Source organism: Homo sapiens, chromosome 3 (genome assembly GCF_000001405.40).
Source record: "Homo sapiens chromosome 3, GRCh38.p14 Primary Assembly".
Classification (NCBI taxonomy): Eukaryota; Metazoa; Chordata; class Mammalia; order Primates; family Hominidae; genus Homo; species Homo sapiens.
In genome coordinates this window covers 13,089,271-13,112,221 of record NC_000003.12, presented here as the reverse complement: position 1 = coordinate 13,112,221, position 22,951 = coordinate 13,089,271, and the positions used below count along the sequence as shown (strand labels likewise).

Sequence of the window (22,951 nt, the reverse complement as noted above, 5' to 3'; positions counted from 1 at the left end):
TTAGAGCAGGGGCCAGGAGGAAGCCGCTAACTCCCTCTGTGTGTTTGCATTAGGGTTACAGATGTCAGGAATGGCTCCAGGGGAGGTGACAGTTCAGGTGCCTTGGAGGCTGAGTAGGAGTCCAGCTGGGAGATGGAAGGCAGGGCAGCCCACCAGGGGAACAGCGTGTGCAAAGCGGGCAAGTGCAGGGAACAGCAATGAGGGTGCAGGGGCTGGGGCAAGGAGAGGAGATGGGAGGGCTGTCCAGGGCAATGGCAGGGGATGCTGTAGAAAACAAAATCACCCAGTGTATTAGTCTGCTGGGAGTCCTATAATAATCTACTGGAGACTTGTGGGGGCTTAAACTACGGGAATATATTTCTCAGTTCTGGAGGCTGAAAGTCCAAGATCAAGGTCAGGTTGCTGGTGGATTGGGTTCCTGGCGAGTGCCTTTTTCCTGGTTCACAGACGGCTGCCTTCTCGCTGTGTCCTCACATGGCAGAGAGAGGGAAGTTTGATGCCTCTTTTTCTTCTTATGAGGACACTGATATCATCATGGGGACTCTACTCCCATGACCTCATCTCAGCGTAATCACCTCCCAAAGGCCCCACCCCCAAATACTGTCACATTGGGGGTTAGGGCTTCAGCATATGAATTCTAAAGGAACACAAACATTCAGTCCCTAACACTCAGCTCTCAATTAGAAGGAGTTTAGCCCAGGGGTCAGGTGCTTACCCGCAGTGGGAAGTTTGCAGGTACAGACTCTTGGAGGGCCTCCAGGAACAATCCCAGAATAGCCCTGCAGAACTGGCCTGGCCAGCGAGCTGCAGCCTCGGCCCCATCAGGAAGGTGGGGTCAGGAGGCTGTCAGTCTAAGGATGAGAAAGCCACCAGCAGCCCCTCACCACCCACGAGGCTGCCAAGGTAGCAGAGCAGTAGCCTCACCTCACTTAGGCATTACAGCTCTCTCTAATGAGAAGCAGGAAGGAGCCAAGCTAGTGGGGTGTGGTGAGCCCTGGGCACACTGGGGAGGTGGGCTGAGGATCAGAAAACGTAAGTCAGGACAGAACTCTCCTCCCAGACTCAGCTGTATGGTACCTGGGAAATGCAGTGTTTTGCTCTCCAGCCTCTGCAGGGCAGGAGCTGTGCTGGGGCAGTGGGCATGAGCACTCTCTGGCGCACTTTGCTGGGTGGCAGGGGCCCTGGCCGTTCCTCTTAGTTTCTCACCCACTTTCTGAACTCTCATCTTCATGCTCCTCCAACCACCCTGTTTTTTCTTATGGGGGTGACAGCTGGTGCGGTAATTCCCCCCAGGCATCGTCATTGTTTACTGCTGAGCTGGCTGTCTGTTTCCTGGGTAAGCTCTTTAAGACAGGGTTCATTTACTTCGGCCCTTTAATTGGTGTCCCGACTCACCCAGTGTAAATCTCCACACCCGTGACAGGAAGTGCAGAGCATAAATCTCAGGCGGCTGAGGCTGGGGAAGCTGGCTCTTGCAGATGCTCAGCAGCCTGGAAAGCCCCTGTGTCCCCAAGGTAGCAGGCAGGGCTTTTGTGTTCAAGAAGGCCAGAGTGAGATGTCAGGCTCAGGTGGTAAGGGGTGTGGTGGGTGTGCAGAATCAGGCCTGTGGAAGACAGAGTCAGGACAGTTTGGTTGAAACGAAGTCTCGCTCTGTTGCCAGGCTGGAGTGCAATGGCGCGATCTCGGCTCGCTGCAACCTCGGCCTCCCGGGTTCAAACGATTCTCCTGCCTCAGCCTCCCAAGTAGTTGGGATTACAGGCATGCACCACCACGCCTAGCTAATCTTTGTATTTTTAGTAGAGACGGGATTTCACCATGTTGGCTAAGGTGGTCTCGATCTCCTGACCTCGTGATCCTCCCGCCTTGGCCTCCCAAAGTGCTGGGATTTCAGGTGTGAGCCACCGCGCCCGGCCGGGTTTCTTTAACTACAAAATGTTTCAGGCCTACGGAAAATAAAAATGATAGCCTAATACTGCTATAACACCTCCTATATGCCCGGCACCATTCTAAGCACTTCATAAACAAAAACGAATTTAATCCAGCCGGGTACCGTGGCTCACGCCTGTAATCCCAGCACTTTGGGGGGCCAAGGCAGGCAGATTGCCTGAGGTCAGGAGTTCGAGACCAGCCTGGCCAACATGGGAAACCTTCTCTCTACTAAAAATACAAAAACTAGCCGGGTGTGGTGGTGCCCATCTGTAATCTCAGCTACTGGGGAGGCTGAGGCAGGAGAATCGCTTGAACCTGGGAGGTGGAGGTTACAGTGAGCCGAGATCACGCCACTGCACTCAAGCCTGAGCGACAGCTAGACTCCGTCTCAAAAAAAAAAAAAAAAAAGAATTTATCCCTTGTAACAGCCTGTATTAGGCCATTCTTGCACCGCTATAAAGAAATTCCTGAGACTGGGTAATTTATTTAAAAAAAAAAAAAGGTTTAATCAGCTCATGGTTCTGCAGGCTATACGGGAAGCATGGTGGCATCTGCTCAGCTTCTAGGGAGGCCTCAGGGAGCTTCCACTCATGGTGGAAGGTGAAGGAAGAGAAAGGGCAGGGGAGGAGAGGGGAGCAGGAGAGAGAGAGGAGGGTCACACACCTCTAAATGACCGGATCTTGCCAGAACTCACTATCAGGAAGACAGCATCAAGCATGAGGGATCCACCCGTATGACCCAAACACCACCCAGCAGGCCCCACCTCCAGCATTGGGGATGACATTTCAACATGAGATTTGGGTGGGGACAAATATCACAGCCTCTGGGGGCAGGTGCAGTTTCTTTAAGCAGTTTTGGACCCGGGGAGTGGCAGAGCTTGGATATGAGCTCAGGTTACCTGATCGAGGGCTCTGTCTATCCACACACTCACCACCCAGATTGGCTGGTATTTGTATTTCACCTTATTTCCTTCATCTCTCTTCTTTTAAGAAAGAAAAAGAAGAAGAAAAAAGAGTGGTGGGAGAATGGGAGGGAGGAGGGGGGCCTCGGCTGCTCATAGCTTCCCCACCCTCCCCCAGGTGGACCGTCCTTATGTCACAGCCTCCACCTTCACCATGCAGCATTGCGCATGCCAGTCCCTCGGTAATGCCTGTACACCACCCCGCGATTCCCCAGTGAGAGTCATTCTGCCCACGCTCTGGCCATCCCCTTCCATGTTGGTGGTTGGAGGCCACTGGAGCTGCCTCTGGGAGCTGTTTGGACGCATGCATCCATGGCCAGGCCCCAGGACGCATTGACCATGTGATGCCTGAACTTGTAGAGGCCACACTGTCTCTGACTGATGTCCTGTCCACTGTTTACCGCATTTGCCTTCAAGACGTTTCACTCGGGGGCCATGACCTGCAGGTCCCCCTACCCCATCTCCAGCAGAGGGGCTGTGTGATCCACAGGCTTCTGTTTTATTTGTGAGATTTACACACATTCTCTCAGATGATGCTTATCTGGTTGCGACTTACCCTTTTTGATTCACTGATGTGTTTTTAAGTTTTGTCCATGCTAAGCAGACCCAAATGGCAAACACACAGGAGCAATGAGGTTGCTGCTGGGTTTTCTACCCTGGAGCCACTCAGCTCAGGATTCCAAACTCAGAGGGATGAGTTTGTCCACCCAGGGCCTTGGCTGACTTGCCCACCAAGTCTAGCTCACAATGTAGGGGGGTGTTTCGTCAAAAGGAGAATCTTGGCAAGAGGAAACATGAGTGCTATGTGGCTAAAAAAAAAAATAGAATGTGCATGCCCATTGCCGCTGGTGGAGATACAAATGGGACGTGGTGTCTGGAAGGCAGTGCAGGCGCTTGCACTGAGAGCCCCAAAAATGGCCACATGTTTCCACCCATAATTCTGCTTCTTGAAATGTTCCTGAAGGAAATCCACTAGATAAAAATAAGAAAATGCCTCACCACACTGCTTTATGATCACAAAATGTTAGCAATAACAAAACTTAGGGATTCCATGTCATGATTTATATTACAGCCACATGTGTGGGTATAAGGGCGTTGTTAGAAATTAGGGTTTTAAAAAATGAGGGGAAAGAATGTTTGTGAAATAATGGTCAGTGAACAAAGTGGAAGGCAAAGCTAAAAACTCTATAGCGTGGACATCAATTACGGAAAAACAATCCCCTGGGGAAATTCGCAGAAAGGTAGACTGGTGGGTTCCAGGCGGTGGGGTTATGAGTGATTCTTTTTTTTCCTTTATGCTTTTTTATAATTTTTTTGTTTGCTAGGTGTAAATAGCCATAAGATACGAGTGGCAGCATGCGGGGCTGCTCCCCGGCGCCCTCTGGGCTGGAGTCCGGAGCTCACTCAGGCCATGGCTGGCCAGGCTGGTGTGCAGCAGGCATGAGCTCAGCAAGTGCCCTGGGGAGGGAGCAGGCCGCTGGGCGTTCCGGACATGTATGGCTGGCCTGATTTTGAAGCAAGGACCGCATCACCGTGTCTGTGCCCACTGGGGCTTAACTGGATCATGAGACCCAGCGGCCCAGGGGCGGGATTCTGCTGGTCAATTGAGTGGTCCCCACCAGGGTCTCGGGCCTAGGGAAATGGGGCCCACTGGGAAGAGGTTATAGACCACCATGATGCCAGTAGAAATTATACCTGTTGTTGTATTTTGGGTTCCAACTTGGTGCTGAGCAAAGCCTCTTCTTGGAATGTGTATGATGAAACCAGCCTTGGTTGAAATCTGAAATCTGCCACTTACCAGCTCTGTGGCCTTGGGCAAGTGACTTAACCGCTCTGAGCCTGTTTCTCCATGTGTAATATGGAGATGACACTTGCCAGAACTGGTACTGGAAAGATTAAACATCTCGGAAGCATCTAACACTGCGTGCTGTATAGTAGGCACTTAATTAACTATAGCAACCGCAGGGGGCATGGTCCTGTTGGCAATGGCCGCTGCCTTAACTTGCCTGAATAATTTATAGAGGATCTAGACCTCAAAGCTTGTAAGTAGGAAAGGGCTTTGTTTTTCTCTAGCCTCTGCCCTGACCATCTGTGCATGGGTCTTCTGGTTTCAGGAATACCTCTTGTGCAGATCCTACAGTCTATAGACATCTCTCGGGAGTGGATGGAGGCCCCCAGGTTTCTGTCCCTGGTGGTCACCAGAGCCACTCTGTGCCTTCTCCACATCAAAAAGGACACGGGCCATGAGATACGGCCAGGGTTCTGCCAGCTTTGTGGTGTCTCACAAGTTCACTGTTACTTTTCCTTGGCATTTCATGATGATTTAAGCCATTCTAGAAAACCACCCAAGTCTTTTACTATTTTCATCATTCCCACAAAATCTGCACAGTTGGTTAACTTTAATGGGCCGTGGAGCTGGCATGTGGTGTCTCTTCTCAAACAGTCTTAAAATGATGTATTTTGGATAGAAAAATGTATGTTAACGATTTTAAGGTCATAAACTCCAAAGAGATGATATCTTCCAAAAACAATCGTCCACCCAGGATGTTTGCTCAGTTGCTCACTTTATAAGCATGTTTTGAGTGTGTACTCAGGGTTCAGCCCTGCACTAACCCATGGAGCCGCAGGAGGAGGGCAGTGCCCATTCATTGATTCATGCACTATTTATTATTCATCCACTCAATGTGGATCAGCCTTGTTCTGTGGAGAGGCAGTGCTGCCTAAGGGTTAAGGGCAGGGAGCTCTGACACCAGATGGCCTAAGTTTAAGTCTTCTCTGTCTCCTACTCCTATGTGATTCGGGGCATGTCACTTGGCCTCAGGTTCCCTCATCTGTACAATTTCATGGGCTTGGCCTCAGGATTACATGAGATAAAGAGCTTAGAACCACACCTGACATATAGCAAGTGCTCGGAACAGAGACTCTGATTACCCCAGGTCTCAAGCTGAGTCCCCAAATAAGAAGGGGACTCCAGGGTCCTGGGTCCCAAGGAGCTGCCAAGCAGGCAGTGGCTGAGGCCTGGGGGAGGTAGAGAGTCACAATGGAGTGTGGGCAGTGGGAGCCCAGGAAGGTGCTGGGGAGGGGAGGGGAAACGGGGAGGCTTCCTGGAGAAGTCTAGTTTCATGGGTTGAGCTTTCCCAGGCTGAGATTATGGAAGGCTTCTGGGCAGTAGCTGGATATGGATTCCTCTCTCTGTTCAGAATGCAGAGGAAGCAGGCAGCCTGGGAAGCTGGGGGGCTCTGCTCCACAGAGTCACCCAGGAACCCAGGCTCCCTCTATTGGTGGCTCCACCTCCATCATAGCGCTCCTCTAACCAGGAAGGAACCAGCCCAGGGCTGCCGGATTTTCTCAGCTATGGAGAGAAGACAAAGCCCAGCGTTTCGCCTGAAATCTTCTATTTGCCAGTGCTAGTAGGTGATAACATGATCACATTTAAAAATCATTTTAATTTTAAGCCACATGCTGCAGGCCAGCCATCCCTTAGGGGTGGAGGCTGATTTGCCACCTCCCCACATGGAGAGGGGACAGAGGGTGTGACTCAGATGCTGCACACATCCCCATGGCCAGAATTCAGTCTCATGGCTACTCTTCACGAGGAGGGAGGCTGGGAAATGCAGTCTTTCACTGGTCAGTCATGGGCCCTGCTGAGGCTAGAGGAGGGAGAATGGCTCTAGGGGGACTCTTAGATGCCCGTGATACAGAGAGGAGGGGATGGAGGGGCAGTGGAGGGAAGGAGAGTGTGTGTGTGTGCATGGAGGCTGTTGATTTTGTTAACTGGGTAATATTTTAAAATGCAACTGCCAGCTTCCACGTGTTTTTCAGGATTCACCATGCCCCTGATTTTTCTTGGTTTTCTCAAAGCCAGAGGTTCTGTCCCTGCCGGCAGGGGTGGGACTGGTGGGAGCGGGTGGCTGTCCCTGAGCGGCATCTGTCTGCTGGCCATCCCAGAGGACAGCGGGAGAACCCTGGGATGTGTGGCCAGGACCCTGGACTCCAGGCCTCGCTCTGCCCCTGGCTGTGGAGGCCTGGTCAGGAGACCAGATGGGTGTGAAGTAGAGAGTGGTAGAGTCCCCTGGAGGGGAGGGGATCAGGGCCCACTTCCTAGAGGAACAGTGCTGTTCTGAGTAGAGGGTGTTGGAGACACAGAAGTGTTGTCCCGTGTAGAGGTTCCTTGTGGGCTCAAAGGGGCCAGACCATGAAAGACCTTGAATGCCGAGCCAGAGAGTTCACACTGCACAGGGCAGAAGTCACAAACTAGCAGCCGACAGACTGCCCCTGGCCTGCAGCATGTGTTTTAAAAGTAAAATGACTTTTTAAATGTGATCATGTAATCAACTACTAGCATTGGCAAACCGGAAGATTTCAGGTTAAACACTGGGCTTCGTCTTCTCTCCACAGCTGAGAAAATCTAGCAGCCCTGGGCTGGTTCCTTCCTGGTTAGAAGAGAGCCATGATCTTCATCCTGGTCCTGCCGCAGCACACGCTGCTTGTTTCACCCCCCGACCAACCCCTGCAGACCTGGCTCCTACAGCCCCTCACATGGGTCAGGGGCCAGGCAGGACCTAGTTGGTTGTTGGGTTAGCGTCCGCTAGTGGCCGGAGTGAGGGGTGAAGAGGAAGGGGCCATGATGGGCCCTGCACCTGGGGTCCCGTGAGAGCAGCTGAGTCCGGAGCCAGGGCCACCGGAGGGGGAGAGGTGGGGGAGGGAGACTTGGAGATGAAACTGCTAAGATGTGGCCCCAGCGTGCACAGGGGAAAGAGGATGGCACCCAGGTGGTCCCTGTTCCGAGTGCTGGGTCAGCGGTGGAAATCTACTTGCCTGGCTGGAAAGCTGCAAGAGTCCGCAGAATAACAACATCATGGCTGTGAATGTATTTTTGTATAGACTACAGAGAGCCCAGAAATGTAAGGGATGGGTGAAAAGGAAGATGGAAGTGGAATTAGAGGGTCCCTAATGTTGGCCCCAGCAGTGTACTCACTGGGAGGCTTGTCACCCCAGGGTCACCCAGGGGACTCACCCCATCTCTTCCCTTCATTTCCAGATGAAATACTCTAGATTTGCCCCAACAGACTGGTCAACTAGGTTGTTTTGGGAAGCAGGGAGTGCAGAAGTCACCATTTATTCACTCAGCAAACATGCTATGTTTGTGTGTGACAGAAGTTACACCAGGCACAGGACCCAGTCCTTGCCCATCGGAGCTGACAGGCCATGGGGAGCAGGTAAGGAAGAGTGGGGCGATTAGTAGCAACAGCTCTAGAGACAGATGGCCTGGGTTCGAATCTCAGCTCCATGACTAACTAGTTGTGTGACCTTGGGCAAGTCATTGAAACTCTCTGTGCCTGAGTTTTCCCATCTATAAAATGAAGATACTAGTAGCACCCACCTCAGGGAGTGCCGTGAAGATTAAATAGAAGAATACCTGGCACAAAGGTAATGTCCTAAGTTTTGGCAAATATTGCTGCTCATTTAGTGACTTACTGAGCACCTACTATGTGCCGCACGCTGGGGAGAGAGCAGTGATGGAGGCAGACACAGCCCCTGCCCTCGTAGGGTGGTAGGCAACATGGAATACCGGGGAGCTCCCAGGGGTAGGAGGCGCACCCTCTGGGGGTCAGGCCTCCAACCTTCCCCTGCTCTGAAATCACAGCTGCCAGCCCCGCTCCCCTGCCAGCCAGACCCCCAGTGCGTGCTGCATGTGAAGCTCATCCTGCAAATTGCCCACCCCAATGGCACACTCGGCTCTGGCTCTTGCCAGCTGCTGCTTGGCCTCCCTGATTCTTGGTTTTCCTCATGGTGAAGGGCCCAGCCCCTTCCTCGGGGACAGGTGTGGATGGCATCCAGGCAGCACGGCCAGCTCTTCCAGTGACTGAGGATGGTGATCATACAGCTTTAAACACACCTGCCACTCCCCCGAGGCTGGTGGAGCTAGTGGTCTGTGGTCCACAGAGGTGGAGGGGAGAGGGTGATCTATTGGTGCCTCGGGTGTGTTGGCGGGGGCGGTTAATTAAAAAGGTGGCTGGGAGATGAATTTCTGGAAACACAAATTGGAAACCAGTGGAAGCTATTGATCTGCTTAATGGGAAGCTGATGATATCTGAGCAAGCAGACAGCTCTGGCTTAGGGAGGTGGCGAGAGTTCGATGCAGGCCCCTTCCCTGAACTGACCTGCCTGGGGCCAGCCGGGGACATGGGCCAGGGAGGGGCTGGGGCAGAGCCCTGGGGCCCTGGCTCTACTTCAGAGCATGGGAGCAAGCTGCATCCCTGCGCAGAAGTCAGAGTCCCTTCCGACATCCAGCCCACAGGTTGAGGTAGGGGGGCACCAAGCACCTGATCTGAGCCCCTCTCTGCCACCTCTGACGGGGCTGAGCTGGACAAGGTGCCAATTGTCTTCAGCTCTCAGTTTTCTCATCTGGAAACTTCCGACCTCCCAGGGTGGTTGTAAGGACTAAATGCAGTAATATGTGGGCCGTGGCAGGCACAGCCCTCAGCACCAGGGGTGCAGCCGTGAACGAGCTGTGCTCAGTACCCGCCTCCTGGAGCTTACATTTTAGTGGCAAGCAAGCAAGTCTGCTGACAGTGGAGTGCCAGGGAGGGCATCCAAGCAGGGAAGGCTGCACATGCAAAGGCCTGGAGGGTGGGACCTGTGGCCTGCAGTTGACAGTGGGAGCATGTGACGTGAGGGGAGCTCCGTGGTTACCAATAAATATCTTCAAATCCCCAATCCCCACCCGACCGGGGAAGGACAGTGCTGTGGAGAACCATGGGCTCACACCTGCTCCTTTCCTCCTGCCAGACCCCCGTGAAGCACAGGTTTTCACGCCTATTACTCAGATGAGCAAACAGAAGCTCAGAGAAGGAAACCATGGGCCCAAACCACACGGGTGAGGAAATCCAGCCTCTAATCCAGCCCCCCACCAACACCAACCCCGGCAGCCCCAACATGGGGCTGGGCCCAGGCCTCCGCTCCCCAGCCCATCCCAGTCTCAGGCTCTAGGATGGGTGTTTGTTCGCATGGAAGGCAGAGGTTATTTATTATTATTATTATTATTTTGAGACAAGTTCTTGCTCCATCACCCAGGCTGGAGTCAGTGGCTCCATCACTGACTCCTGGGCTCCATCATTGATCTCCTGGGCTCAAGCAATCCTTCCACCTCAGCCTCCTGAGTAGCCAGGACTACAGATGCACATCACCATGCCTGACTAATTTTTGCATTTTTTGTAGAGACAGGGTCTCGCCACATTGCCCAGGCTGGTCTCAAACTCCTGGGCTCAAGCGATCCACTTGCCTCAGCCTCCCAAAGTGCTGAGATTACAGGCATGAGCGGGCAGAGTTTATTAATCGATGGCTCATGAGTGGGCCCCTGGCTCACTGCACACCCTCCCTCCCACCCCTGCAAGGCCAGAGTCAGTTTCAAAGCACTTAACTCGTGAAATCCTCTCCCAGGATCTGGATGGGGAAGGAGGCCAGTGTTAGTCTCTGTTTATTGATTCCTGGACTTCATCAGGGTTTATCTCTGAAACAATAAAATTGAAAGATGGCCCCAAATTTATATCTCCAGCCTGTACCACTCACCACTCCACTGCTACCCATCCAGCTGCCTCCTCCATGTTTCTACCTGGAGGCCCCACAGACATCATACTGGACACAGCCAAAACAGGACTCTGAGTCTCTTCCCAGCCCTTCCGCCTGCAGCCCAGCCTGACTCCCCTTCCTCTCCCACCCACTGCAATCTGTCGTGGAAACCGGGAGCTCCCTCCAGACAGACTTGGGCCTGAGCACCTCTCCCTGCCAGCCCACCATCTAGCCAGGCACCACCATCGCTCATCTTCCCGGGGCCTTCCCAGACCTCCTTGTTTCCTTTCTGTTCCTTTCTGCCCTCTCAACAGTAGAAGGGTGCATTTTTTTTTTTTTTGGAGATGGAATCTCACCCTGTCTCCCAGGCTGGAGTGCAGTGGCTCAATCTCGGCTCATTGGAGACGCCCGCCACCACGCCCGGCTAATTTTTTGTATTTTTAGTAGAGATGGGGTTTCACCATGTTAGCCAGGATGGTCTCAATCTTCTGACCTCATGATCCACCCACCTCGGCCTCCCAAAGTGCTGGGATTACAGGCGTGAGCCACCGCGCCCAGCCTAGAAGGGTGCTTTTAAAAACAGAAGTCGCATCGTGTCACTGTCAGGCTTGAAGCCCTCCCATGGCTCCTCGCTGCGCTTAGCAGAAAATCCACACTCCCCTCAGCAGCCTCCCTCTTCCACCTCCTCTTCCCAGCTCAGTCCCTCCCAGCCTCTCGGCCCCCTTGCAGCTCTTCAGACACATGGGCTGTTTTCTCTGTCTGGAGCACTCTTGCTCGAGGTCCTCCCATGGCAGGCCTCGTTCAGGTCTCAATTCAAAGATTGCCTCTCGGGGAGGCCCTCCCTGGCCGCCCCTCTTCATCTTCACAGCACTGGCTGAGTGGCCTTTCAAAGCATCCTTTGTATGCACTTGTTTATGGGTTTCCTGTCGGTCCCCCCGACGCTGTGGCAGCAGAAGCTGTCTTTCCTACTTACTGCTCAATCCCCATGGCCCAGACCAGTGTCCAATGAACATTTGTAGAATTAATCGATGAACGAAATGTGAGGCTCGGCAGGAATTCAGCTGGAGACGCCACCTGACGTGGCCCAGAATTCTGGGTTTTGCTGGATTTACCAGTGCTTTGGTGGCGTTGTGCCTGTTTCTCCCACTCACCCACTCCCAACCGCTGACCTGAAAATCAGTGACCTTGTAGTTGCCTGGGCGCCCGCCGCTGTCCCAACTCTAGCTGCAAGAGGCGGAGCTCAAGGAGGTGTTCAGGAAGTTGGTCCATGCTGAAAGCCCAGACCCTCCAGGTGAGTGGAAGGGAAACCCCACCCTGGGGTGCCAACCCCAGCAGAGAGAGTAACTTCTTCATACAAGGGGTTAGGCACTTGAGGATGAACATTCACCAGGAAGATAAGGAGAGAGGGAAGGGTGTTCTGAGCAGAAGGAACAGCGTGTGCAAAGGCCTAGATGTAGGAAGAGTGTGGTAACAAGAGAGGAAGGAGCCAGCCAATTCTTCTGTTTTGGAGGGAGGACCATGGTCTGCACCTGCCTTATTTACCTCCCCACACCCCCCAACTCCCTGTGCACAGCTGAGGGGTTAGGACCACGGAGTCTCTCCCAAGCCTAGTTGCCCCACCTCCTCACTGCTCTCATGGCTCCCGCAGCCCTCGCCACGCCACTGTTCTCAGCACAAATCCAGCGGACTCCTCCCATCCTCCTACTCGGAACTCTCCCAAGGCTCCTGCGCCAGAGTGAAGGCCGAGTCCTTCCAAGGCCTGTCCCACTGTCCCCGTCACCTCCGACCTCCTCTCCTTTCCTCCAGCTCTCTCCATCCCTCCCTCTGTTCCAGCCACCCTGATTCCTTGTTCCTGGATCACACCAGGCACACTGCTCCCTTGGGGCCTTTGCACATGCCGTGCCCTCTGCCAGGGGTGCTGAGGTGCAACTGCCCCCTTCACTGATGGCTGTGGTTTCACAGAGAGAGGAGCTGGGGGTAGGGGCTTGAACAGGGACTGCTTTGAGGTAGAGAGGGCTTTCCTGGCATGTGAAGTTGTCCCGGGTTGGCGGGGAGTAGGGGGCACCTTTTAGGAAATAATGATGGCTGTTTTCCTAAAACCCAGAATGAAGGAGGGAGCCCCAGCCCCGGGCAATAGGTAAGGTCCTTTTACTTCTGTCTGTTTGATTCTTGCACACTCTGGCTTGCGTTTCCATGGCCACCGCGCTCTGCCAGCCTGAGTGAGGTGGGCGCTTCTGAGGGCCACAGATGCACCCGGGGACACCCAGCTCGGGGGAGGAGTCCACCATTGCCTGTAAGCCCTGAGCAGCACCACCTTCACTCTTTCGAAAGTAGCCTGAGCCTAAAAACCATTTTTCCTACCAGCTTTGAGATGTTGCAACTCTTGCTGATTTAAATTTGTCAAATTCTCATAAAATGCAATCCTGCACACCCGAAACCTCATTTGCCCATGCCCCACCAGCTATATTCTGGTGCCCCTAGTGGACCCTGATATAGCCGATGTGCCTCACTGTGGCCTCAACTTCCCTGAAGGTCTCACTTGCCTCTCCTCACCCCTCTCCAGGGGCTATGGCCCCCAGGGCTACACTCAGTGGTGCCCCAGGTGGCAGGTGCGGGACAGGCTAGTCTAGCCACCACCCTATTCCTGGACCTGTAGCTCAGCCCAGGTCTCTGCTTCAATATCACCTCTTTGGGGACACCCGGCCTGTTCCCCCCATCCCCCGAAAGTCCTCTTATCCCAATGTCTTTTCTGGAACTGATCGCTACCTGACATATGACAAAGTTATTCTGTAACAGCTTTACTGGAATTTACATACTGTAAAGTTCATTCATTTAAAGTGTATCATTCCGTGGATGTTAGTGTATTCACAGAGTTGTGAATCCATTTCACAGTCGGTTTTAGGACATTTTCATCATCCAGAAAGAAACCGTATACCCAGTAGCAGTCATTTCCCACTTCCTCTTCCCCTAAGTCCCTGGTAACCTTGAATTTACTTTCTTTTTTCTAGTGAATTGCCCATTCTGGACTCTCCATACAAATGGAACCATATACACTGGCCTTGTGTGACTGGCTTCTTTCACATTGTATAATGTTATTTTTAGCCATCCATTTTCCCCTAGCTCAGAGCCTTTCCACTGCTGTTTCCTCTGCCTCAGACACTCTTCTCCAGGTATCTCCTTGGCTCCCTCCCTCACCCCCTTCTCAGTGAGGCCCTCTCCATCCTCCTATTTTAGTGGAAACCCTCACCCTCCTCTTGACCCTCCTGATTCTTACTGGCTTTTCTTTTCTTTGTAGACCGTTCCCTTTCTGGGGTTGTGCTTTCTTTACTTATCCCCCCAACCCCCAGAGAACTCCTCTGCATCCTTCAAAACCCACTTAAGATGGCGCCTCCTCTGTGGTACCTTCCCAATGCTAAGTTAGATTTCGCCGTCTATGCTCCAAAAATTCCTGATTCTTGCTAGACTGTAATTTGTTTGCTTCCTCGTTGGTTCCATTGATTGCCAGGCTGCCCCTGCAAAAAGTCAAGGACCTTGTTTTGATCTCTGCTGTGCCGTCAGCCTCCAGAAAGAAGGCTGCACATCATAGTTGCTCAATAAATGTTTGTTGAATTAATGAAGAAATGCTGGGGTCTGCTGGGGACCTGAAGACCTGACCTAGGGTCAGGTAAGGCCATGAGCCAGCACAGGGCAGGACAGACATTGAGGGCACCACTGCCCCAGACATCTGGGGTCGGCCCTGAGATGCTCAGGCTTGGCCTTCAGAAGCCCTCACATGCCCAGGGCACAGTGGGCTGAGGCTGCCAGGGCTTTAAGTGTCCAGGGCCTTCCATGCACCCCTGTGGGACAGATGGGCACCTCCTATACCACTGAGCTGGTCATGAAGAAAGGGGCTGCACACAGGCGCAGGCTCCAGCCTTCCCCAGTGACAAATGGTTGATAATTAATGTTGGGTCTGCACGTTATTAATCAATTTAAAGTTGAATGCGCAGCCAGAAGCGATTCCAGGAAAAAAAAAATGTTCAGCCCTGCATCCTCCTCATTCTTACTCATCAATCACCAATTTTGTAAGCAGCTTATTAAAATGTAGAGAAAAGCATGGCTGGAGAAATAAAAGGCCCTTAAAGGCCCAGAGGAGGTTTATCAGGCGTTCACAGCATGAGTGCGGGAGTTGGGAGGTGGGGGCTGGCGGCTGCAGAGCTGAGGGGCCCAGCCCCGGTTCACAGATGGAAAGACTGAGGCTCGAGCTGGCAGGCCGTGTGAAATCCAGAAAGTTGACGCCAACACAGGAGCATGGCCAGGGTCTGGGAGCCTTGGGCACAGGACCTGCAGGGCTTATGGTGGACAGCCAGGTGGAGTATGGCTGCCAAGCTGGAGACTCAGTGACTGGAGGGGACCAGAGCCACGTCTGGAAGCAGGGAGGGAAAAAGGCATTGTTCTGGAGTCAGGCAGATCTGGATTCGAATCCCAGCTCTTCCAATCGTGTGGGAGGCAAGGTACCTTCCCTCTCTGAGCCTTGCTTTCCTCTTCTGTGAACCAGGGGCGATCGCTTCCCTCTGGAAGGTTTGCAGAGGCGAAGGGATGCCATGTAAAGAAAGGCCTAGGCCGGGCGCGGTGGCTCATGCCTGTAATCCCAGCACTTTGGGAGGCCGAGGTGGGCGGATCACGAGGTCAGGAGATTGAGACCATCCTGGCTAACACGGTGAAACCCCGTCTCTACTAAAAATACAAAAAATTAGCCAGGCGTGGTGGCGGGCGCCTGTAGTCCCAGCTACTTGGGAGGCTGAGGTAGGAGAATGGCGTGAACCCTGGAGGTGGAGCTTGCAGTGAGCCGAGATCGCGCCACCGCACTCCAGCCTGGGCAACAGAGCGAGACTCCATTTCAAAAAAAAAAAAAAGAAAGAAAGAAAGGCCTAGGAGAGGGCCTTAGGTGCACAGCAGGTGCTCATTAAATGATGGTTGTCTGTCGAAGGCCCAGCACTGGTGGGAGGGTAGCTGGGGCAGCTTCTGTGCCTCCTTCAAGCGTGACAGTGCTATTCTGGGTATGTAGCCAAGTGGCTGGGACTGTGCTGCCCTTTGCCAGCATGGTCTTCGGAAGCACCAGGAGGCTGCCGTGCCTTTGCTCATGTTCCTTCCTCTCTGGGGTGTGTTTTCTTCACATAAACCCCAGGCCACAGCGAACTCATATACATCCTTCAAAACTCACCTCATATGGCACCTCCTCTGTGGTGTCTTCCCAATGCTAAGTCAGCGTCTTGCCCTCTATGCCCCCCAAATACTTGATTCTTGCTAGACTGCGAATCCCTTCTGGGAAGGGCGTGTGCCCTACACGGCCCAGTGTATGGTGACAGAGTAAATTTTGTTGAGTGAATAAGCAAAGGAATGAGTGAATAAATGAATGGATGGTTCTCACAACACTGACCCTGCCCTGAGATCACTTAGAGGCCTGTCCCCCACATGCCCCACCTCCAAGACTGTGAGCTCCCCAAGAGCTAGGGCGTAGCCTGGAGGTCTTACCTGTGCCTCCCACTGCCCAGGTCAGATCTTGGTACACACTAGGTGCTCAATACGTGTCTGAATGAATGAGAAGAAAAAGAGGGGATAGGAAAGCTGAGTCTACACTTGGGACCTATGAAGAGCCAGGGAGGGTGCTGGGCATTTTCACCCATGGGGTCCTTTCTCTGCCTCATAGCAGCCCAGATCACAGATGCGGATACTGAGGCAGGAGGAACCAAGGATGTGCAGGAGCCAGGATTGAAGCCATGGAGCTTGGACGACTCAGAGGGTTCTTCCCACCCCATCATGATGCCTTCCAAATGAGGGAATGCAGGCATGTGTGAATAAATCAGTGAATGCATGAGGTCTCACGTGAATCTCGCCGCCCCTCCCTCAGCCTCATCCTTCCCAGGCCTCTCTCCTCTGCAGCTGGCTCAGCGCTTTTGCGTGGGGCTGTGGAATAAAAGCTGCCCCGCCCGCTCCCTGCCAATCAGCCTCCATTGTCCTGCTGCATCTGGAGCCCTCTGCAAATTGCCCGTCCCGACAGGCGTGCTCAGCATCCTCTGAGGAAGGACGTCCCCACCTCTTTTACAAGCGCCAGTTCCTAAAAGGCTGGTGATTGCGTCCTCAGCGTCCCCACCGAGCCACCCAGTGTCATGGAGTGGCGGAAAAGGCCCCAGATGGCTGGGAAAGGAGGGGGGAGTGGCAATGATTATCACTGAGCAGGAAGCAACTCGGCCTCTGAGGAGGCGCTGGGTATGCATTAAGTAGGAAACACATGTCTCAAATGTTCTTAGCTCTGTCCATCAGCCCCCGGTGCTGCTGTTTCCACGAAGCCAGCACTTCCCTAAAGGAGCGCACACCAGCATCGCCAAGGCTGGTTAAATCCCAGATGGCTGGGCCCCACCTCAGGGTTTCTGCTTGGGAGGTCTGGGTAGACCCGAGAATGTGCATTTTTCACAGGTTCCTCAGAGATGCCCTGGGAGGTGGGGGTCGGGGATTGACCACACCTTTCCAACTCCCTGGGGCCTTCAGGAACGACGGGGACCATGCCAGGCTCACCTCTGGGAAAGACAGTGTATACTGTGGACCAGACTACACATCGCAGCCTGGGGTCCACCCACAGGCAGAGATGGAGGTAGATTCTTGGGCTGGTTGACTTGTGGAGCATTGTTATTAAACTGCAGTAAACCAGAAGCAAGGTGGAGAGGAGGGGGGCTCTCGGTGCAATAGCGTTTGCCCAGGTGTGGCTCCAACAAATGGTCATGATCACCACCGAACAAAACCGCAGCCACAGCCACAAGCTTAGGAGCACTTGCTGGGCTCCTCTCTCAGCGTGTGGCCTGCAGCTGGTTCAGTCTGTGTCCATGGTCCATCGAAATGTATCCCTTGCCTGGGGAGGTAACAATTGAACTCAACTATTGATCTTCCCTGAATTCCCAGTGGAGGCCCAGAAGGGTCAGGTGCTCTCGGCAGGTCACACCGTGCTCAGTGGGAGAAGATCCCGGAGCTCGTGGCTGCTGGAGCCTGTCAGCCTGAGTTTGAGCCCTGCAGCCCTCTGTCCAGTAGTATGGCCAGGAACAGGCCATACTCCTGATTTATCTGTCCTCAGTTTCCACAACTGTATTATGAGGGGAATGGTGGAAGCAGTCTCACAGGCTGATCCACGAACAGTACTTAGTGCAGGGTCTGGCACCAGGTGGGGGGTGTCAGGAGGAGAGAGAGGTTGAGTGGACACAGATCTTCCTGACAAAAAGGAACAAAATTAAAGGGGCTCAGACATCACTCTGCATCTCGCCAGCCTCTGTGGTTTGTGTTTTGTATATGATTGGGGGAGGGAGTCTAGAGCAGGGATGGGACTTCCAGGTGGCTCCGGGAGAGGGGTGGAAGTGAAATCCTTCTTTTCAAGGTCAGCCCCTGCAAGCCTTGCCTTCGCCTTCCATCTGGAATGCCTGATCACTCATCTTCCTGTGTTAACTTTCTCATCCTTCAAGGCCTGATGCAGTCCCTGCCTCTTCCATGATCTCCCTGCCACAAGTGCCTTCCATCCTAGAACTCCCACAGCACCGGCTTCTCCACTGTGATACGAGGTGCCACCTGCTACCATCGGTGTATCAGTGAGGACCCTGATCGGATGTCACGGTTCTCTCTCTCTCTTCATCCCTCAGCCCTGTTTCTTCATTCTTGGGAAGGTTTGCTCTTACAGTATAACACGATAGGCACCAGGAACCCCAGGCTCACAGCCAGTTAGTTCAGTGGCCCCAGCCGGAAGAGGTCTCTTTTTCAGATCTGCAAAAGCGCCAGGGCTGACTCTCATTGGCCTGACTCAGGTTACAAGCCCATCTCTAAGCCAATCACTATGAAGAACAGAGGGATTTATGCTCTGATTGGCCAGGCTGGATCACGTGCACATCCCTGGACCTAGAGGGTGCTGAGAACGGACAGGGGGAGACCTAGCGGAGTCACGTGGACCAACAGTGGGGAGGAGGTTCAGGGATAAGAGGGGCTGGATGCCAGACAGTGGATCCAACTGTGTATGCCTCAGTCGTCATCAGTGCTCGGGCCTGATCCTGCCGCCAGGCTGTAGCTGCATGCGTCTTGTGTCCCCTTGTCCAGGGTTTGCCACACACCCCATGTGCTGGATGAAGGGGACACACGTAGGAATCACACTGAATAACCTCCTCCCTCGTGGCATCCCCTGAGCTTGGGGAGGAGGCAGCCCTGCCTCCCCAGTTCCTGCCCTGAGCCACAGGGACCAGTTACTTGGATGAAGCCCCTCGTCTGCGCATGGCAGGAGGTGGAGCCCAGCTCCTCCTGTGGAGGAAGCTTCCTAATGGTCTCCCCTGGGGCCCGGTGAGGACATAAACTCTGCATCACTGAAGGTGCTGGGGCTCAGATGGCACCGCCTGGGATGCTGGAGGAGCATGCATCCCTGCAGCAGGCAGGGCTGGGATGGAGGCCCCAGGTCTCCTTCCGTCCTTGAGCCCGATTAGTCTTGTCAGGTATGGGGCTGAGGCTCTGGCTGAGGGACGATGTCTCCTTTATAAGTGAGTTTGTTTATTTGCTCTTAATGCCTCTCTGTATCCTCTCGCCTCCCCAGCTGGAGTTGGTGAAACCACAGACTGTGCCCTGGGCAGGGGCAGGACCTGTGTGGAGCCACCGAGATGTGATTTAGTCACTTGTTACCTGGGTTAGGCTAAAATAATCCCAAGTACTGAGATGTTGCCAAGAAGACACAACACAGAGATAGGACCCTGAGGACTAGGAGCAGCTTGTGCCTGGGTGCTGGGGGCCTCTCTGAGCCAAGAGCTAAATAATGGGAGGAGCCGGCTACGGGAGGGGGAAGAGTGCTCGCGGCAGAGGGAACAGCAAGGGCAAAGGCCCCGGGACTCGAAGAAGTTCGGCCTTGGAGATGGAAAGTTGGCCAGCGTGCCTGGAGCAGAGTGAGGAGGGGCTGGCACTGGGACAGGAACCCTGCAAGGTGGGTGGGGCCAGAGAGCGCAGGGCCTGAATGTTGGTGGACTGTTTTACGCGAAGAGGCCACCATCAGAGGGGTTGATAGAGGAGACACCATTGAGATTGTTCTGGTGAGGGAACAGAAATAATTCGGGTTAGGGGCTAAAATTGACTTCTCCCATTATTTAGCTCTTGGCTTAAATGTCGCCGTCTCAGAGAGGCCCCCAGCACCCAGGCACGCGCTGCTCCTGGTCCTTAGGGTCCTGTCTCTGTGTTGTGTCTTCTTGGCAGCATCTCAGTTCCTGGGATTATTTTAGCCTAACCCAGATGGGGAGAGGACATGTGGCCAGGGAATGAGGCCTGGGCAGGCCTGGGAAGGAGCCAGGTCAACAGCGTTCTGGGACGTCCGTGGTCAGCCGGGGCGTGTTTTGCAGGTATCTCTTTGCAGGACTTTGCAGCAGCCGCGCGCTGCCCTCTGCTGGAACTTCTGAGCATTACACCTAGCGCCTTTGAGCTGTACTAACCCCAGAACTTACTTCCCTGAGCACTTTATGGAAACACCCCCGTGATACGGTGTCCTCAGAGCTGGCAGAAGCTCACAAGGTCTTCTTCTCCTGCCTGGTATGTCCCTGCTGGCTTGCTTAGCCCTAGGCACAGGCATCTCACTAGCCCCTTTTGATGCAGTCAGTTCTGACCCTGCACAGTGCAGGGCAATTGACCCCGCGCAGTGCAGGGTAGCTTGACCCCAGAAAGAGCTGTGCTTAGCTTCCTCCTGGCCTCGACCATGCACAGGCCCTTAGAACTGCCTGGGGGGCCTGGGGACACTGACCACCTCCCCCATGACTGCCCTGCTCCAGCGCCTCCAGGTCCTGCCCACCCCGACCCCACCCAAGCTGCCCTCCCAGACCAAAGAGGAGACCTGGGAGGAAGCCTGAACAGTCTAGGCTTCCACAGAGGATGTGGCTTTCCTAGGAAAACCCCTGAAGACTCCCCAAATGTGCCACACGTGTCCTCTGCCTGCCTGTGTCTTTGTTTTTTATGTTGGAGCTTCAGGCACCTCTCAGTTTCCCTGAATACAGAGGGAGGGCTGACAAGGGCCTGGTCATAGGAACAGCTGGGGTGAACAGACAGGTCAGCGGGGGCAAGGCTGAGGCACAGCCAAGTCGGGCTTCCTGGGAGCATTGTGGGCCCGTCCCACCTGGGCTTCTGGGTCCTTTCACACCCCAGCCCCTGCTCCTGCAGTAGTCACAAAGGAGGGCTGTGCTCAGGGAGGGCAGGGAGGCCAGGAGGCCAGGGGAAGAGATGGGAGAAAAGATGCATGGGTTTCAGTAGGCCCAAGCCCAAGTCAAAGGCCCAGCAACACTGTCCTGGGTCTCATTCCAGCATCTGTCCTGTAAACAAACTCCCTCATTCATTCGGCAAATATTTTTTGAGCATCTGCTATGTGCCAGGCACGGTCTATGGCTTGAGCCTGCTTCAGTGAATAAAACAGACTCCCCTGGCCTCCTGGAGTCTGTATGCCAATGAGGAAGGAGGACAGCAACCAGCAGCCTGGCAGAGAGACCGATGCTGCTGCCCTCGGAGAGTGGTGACGGGGTCAAGGCATGCACCTGAGTGAGCGATGGCGTAGGGAGTGCAGGACAGAGGTGGGCAGGAGCCCTCCCTGAGAGAGTGTCCACTGAGTCAAGACCGGAGTGACGAGAAGTCTTTACAAACCTCTCTGGGAGAAGGCCGTAGAAACCGAGCACAGAATGGGTCATCAGGGCAGAGGAGTGTGGGCGGTGAGGAGGAGGCCAGGCCAGCCAAATCCAAATTAATCTTCCTCCTGGCTGGTCAGGCAGCTCCGTGCAGTCTTCCAGTGCTGTCCCCGCGGCTGGGGTTCAAATTCCGCACAGGGCTTTTGGTCAAGGGAACTGTGGATACCCGGGTTCCATTCTCAGCCTGTCTGTGCCTGAGTGTCCCCGGCTGAGGTCCTTCTGAGCTCAAGGATCGAAGTCTAAAATCTCTACGGAGCTCATACGAGTCACAGGGTGCCAGGTCCCCTTAGTGTGCCTCCTCAGGCCCAGCAGAGCACCTGGCACATGGCAGAAGCCCAGCAAAGTCCCTTTAAATCAACACCAGGCTGTGGGGAGGGAGAAGGGGCTCTCGGGATGTGGTGGGCTGTAGAGTCTCTCAGCCCAGCGTGGGGCCTACCTCTACCAGGACCTGCCCCTGCACCAGGCCTGTCACCAATCACCCCACAGACTCCATGAGCATGTCCTGTGGGGGACTTGCAGCCAGTGGGTGGCACACATGGACACAGAGAGGTGCAACACGGGATGGGGGTGTGCCTGAGTGCTGGGACTCACTGGGGAGCAGCACCTTGAGCTCAGATTGCAATCATTCATTCATACATCCACTCACTCATTCAGTCACTCATTTCACATTTTATTAAATACCGGTGGTATTCCAGGCACTAGAGTATAGTGAATAAAACAGACAAAAATCCTTACCTTCATGAAGCTAGCGTGCTAACAGTAGGGAAACAAACCAAAATATAGAATATAGAAATTTAAAATATACAGTAGTTTGTTTTTGTTGTTTTATTTTTTTTGAGACAGAGTCTTGCTCCGTCACCCAGGCTGGAGCGCAGTGGCGCGATCTTGGCTCACTGCAAGCTCCGCCTCCCAGGTTCACGCCATTCTCCTGCCTCAGCCTCCCGAGTAGCTGGGACTACAGGTGCACGCCACCACACCCCGCTAATATTTTTTGTATTTTTTAGTGGAGACGGGGTTTCACCGTGTTAGCCAGGATGGTCTGGATCTCCTGACCTCGTGATCCACCCGCCTTGGCCTCCCAAAGTGCTGGGATTACAGGCGTGAGCCACCGTGCCCGGCCTAAAATATACAGTGTTTTTAAAAGTGTACAATTCAATGCTTTCTAGTAAATTCACTGAGTTGCACAACCATCCCCACAATAGGTTTTAAAACATTTTCATCACTCCAGGCAGAAACTCCATACCCATTCGCAGCCGTCCACATACTCCCTAGGCCTCCTCCCATTCCCTGGCAGCCACTCATCTGCTTTCTACCTCTATGGATTTGCCTGTTCTGGACATTTCACACCATTCGAATCATAGAAGATGTGTCCTTTTGTGTCTGGCTTCTTTAACTTAGCATCATGTTTCCAAGGTTTATCCATGTTGCCACATATATCGGTACTTCATTTCTTTAAAAACAATTTTTTTGAGACAGGGTCTCATTCTGTCACCCAGGCTGGAGTGCAGTGGCACAAACACAGCTCACTGAAGCCTTGACCTCCTGGGCTCAAGGGATCCTCCCACCTCAGCCTCCTAAGTAGCTGGGACTACAGGTGTGCACCACCACACCTGGCTAATTAAAAAAAAATTTTTTCTGTAGAGACTGAGTCTCACTGTGTTGCCCAGTATGGTATCAAACTCCTGGGCTCAAGTAATTCTCCAGCCTCAGCCTCCCAAAGTGTTGATATTACAGGCATGGGCTAGTGCTCCCCAAATTTTATTTCTTTTTATGGCTAAATAAT

The 22,951-nt window shown here is 53.6% G+C and overlaps 1 protein-coding gene across 6 annotated transcripts in view, besides 2 other annotated features; it reads left to right on the top strand.

Annotated features, from left to right (window-relative positions):
- The window catches only part of IQSEC1 (IQ motif and Sec7 domain ArfGEF 1), a 386,215-nt gene that overhangs the window by 171,036 nt on the left and 192,228 nt on the right, over positions 1 to 22,951 (top strand). The gene's annotated exons all lie outside the window — the stretch shown is intronic.
- Positions 1,250 to 1,589: an enhancer, noted in NCBI's record as "active region_19484". NCBI's record gives its function as "activates an Ori minimal core promoter by ATAC-STARR-seq in GM12878 lymphoblastoid cells {active_cell/tissue: GM12878}" and the evidence as "EXISTENCE:reporter gene assay evidence [ECO:0000049][PMID:35858748]".
- Positions 8,152 to 8,921: an enhancer, noted in NCBI's record as "H3K4me1 hESC enhancer chr3:13144801-13145570 (GRCh37/hg19 assembly coordinates)". NCBI's record gives its function as "activates a minimal SCP1, AML or CMV promoter by ChIP-STARR-seq in naive H9 embryonic stem cells {active_cell/tissue: H9 hESC(naive)}" and the evidence as "EXISTENCE:reporter gene assay evidence [ECO:0000049][PMID:30033119]".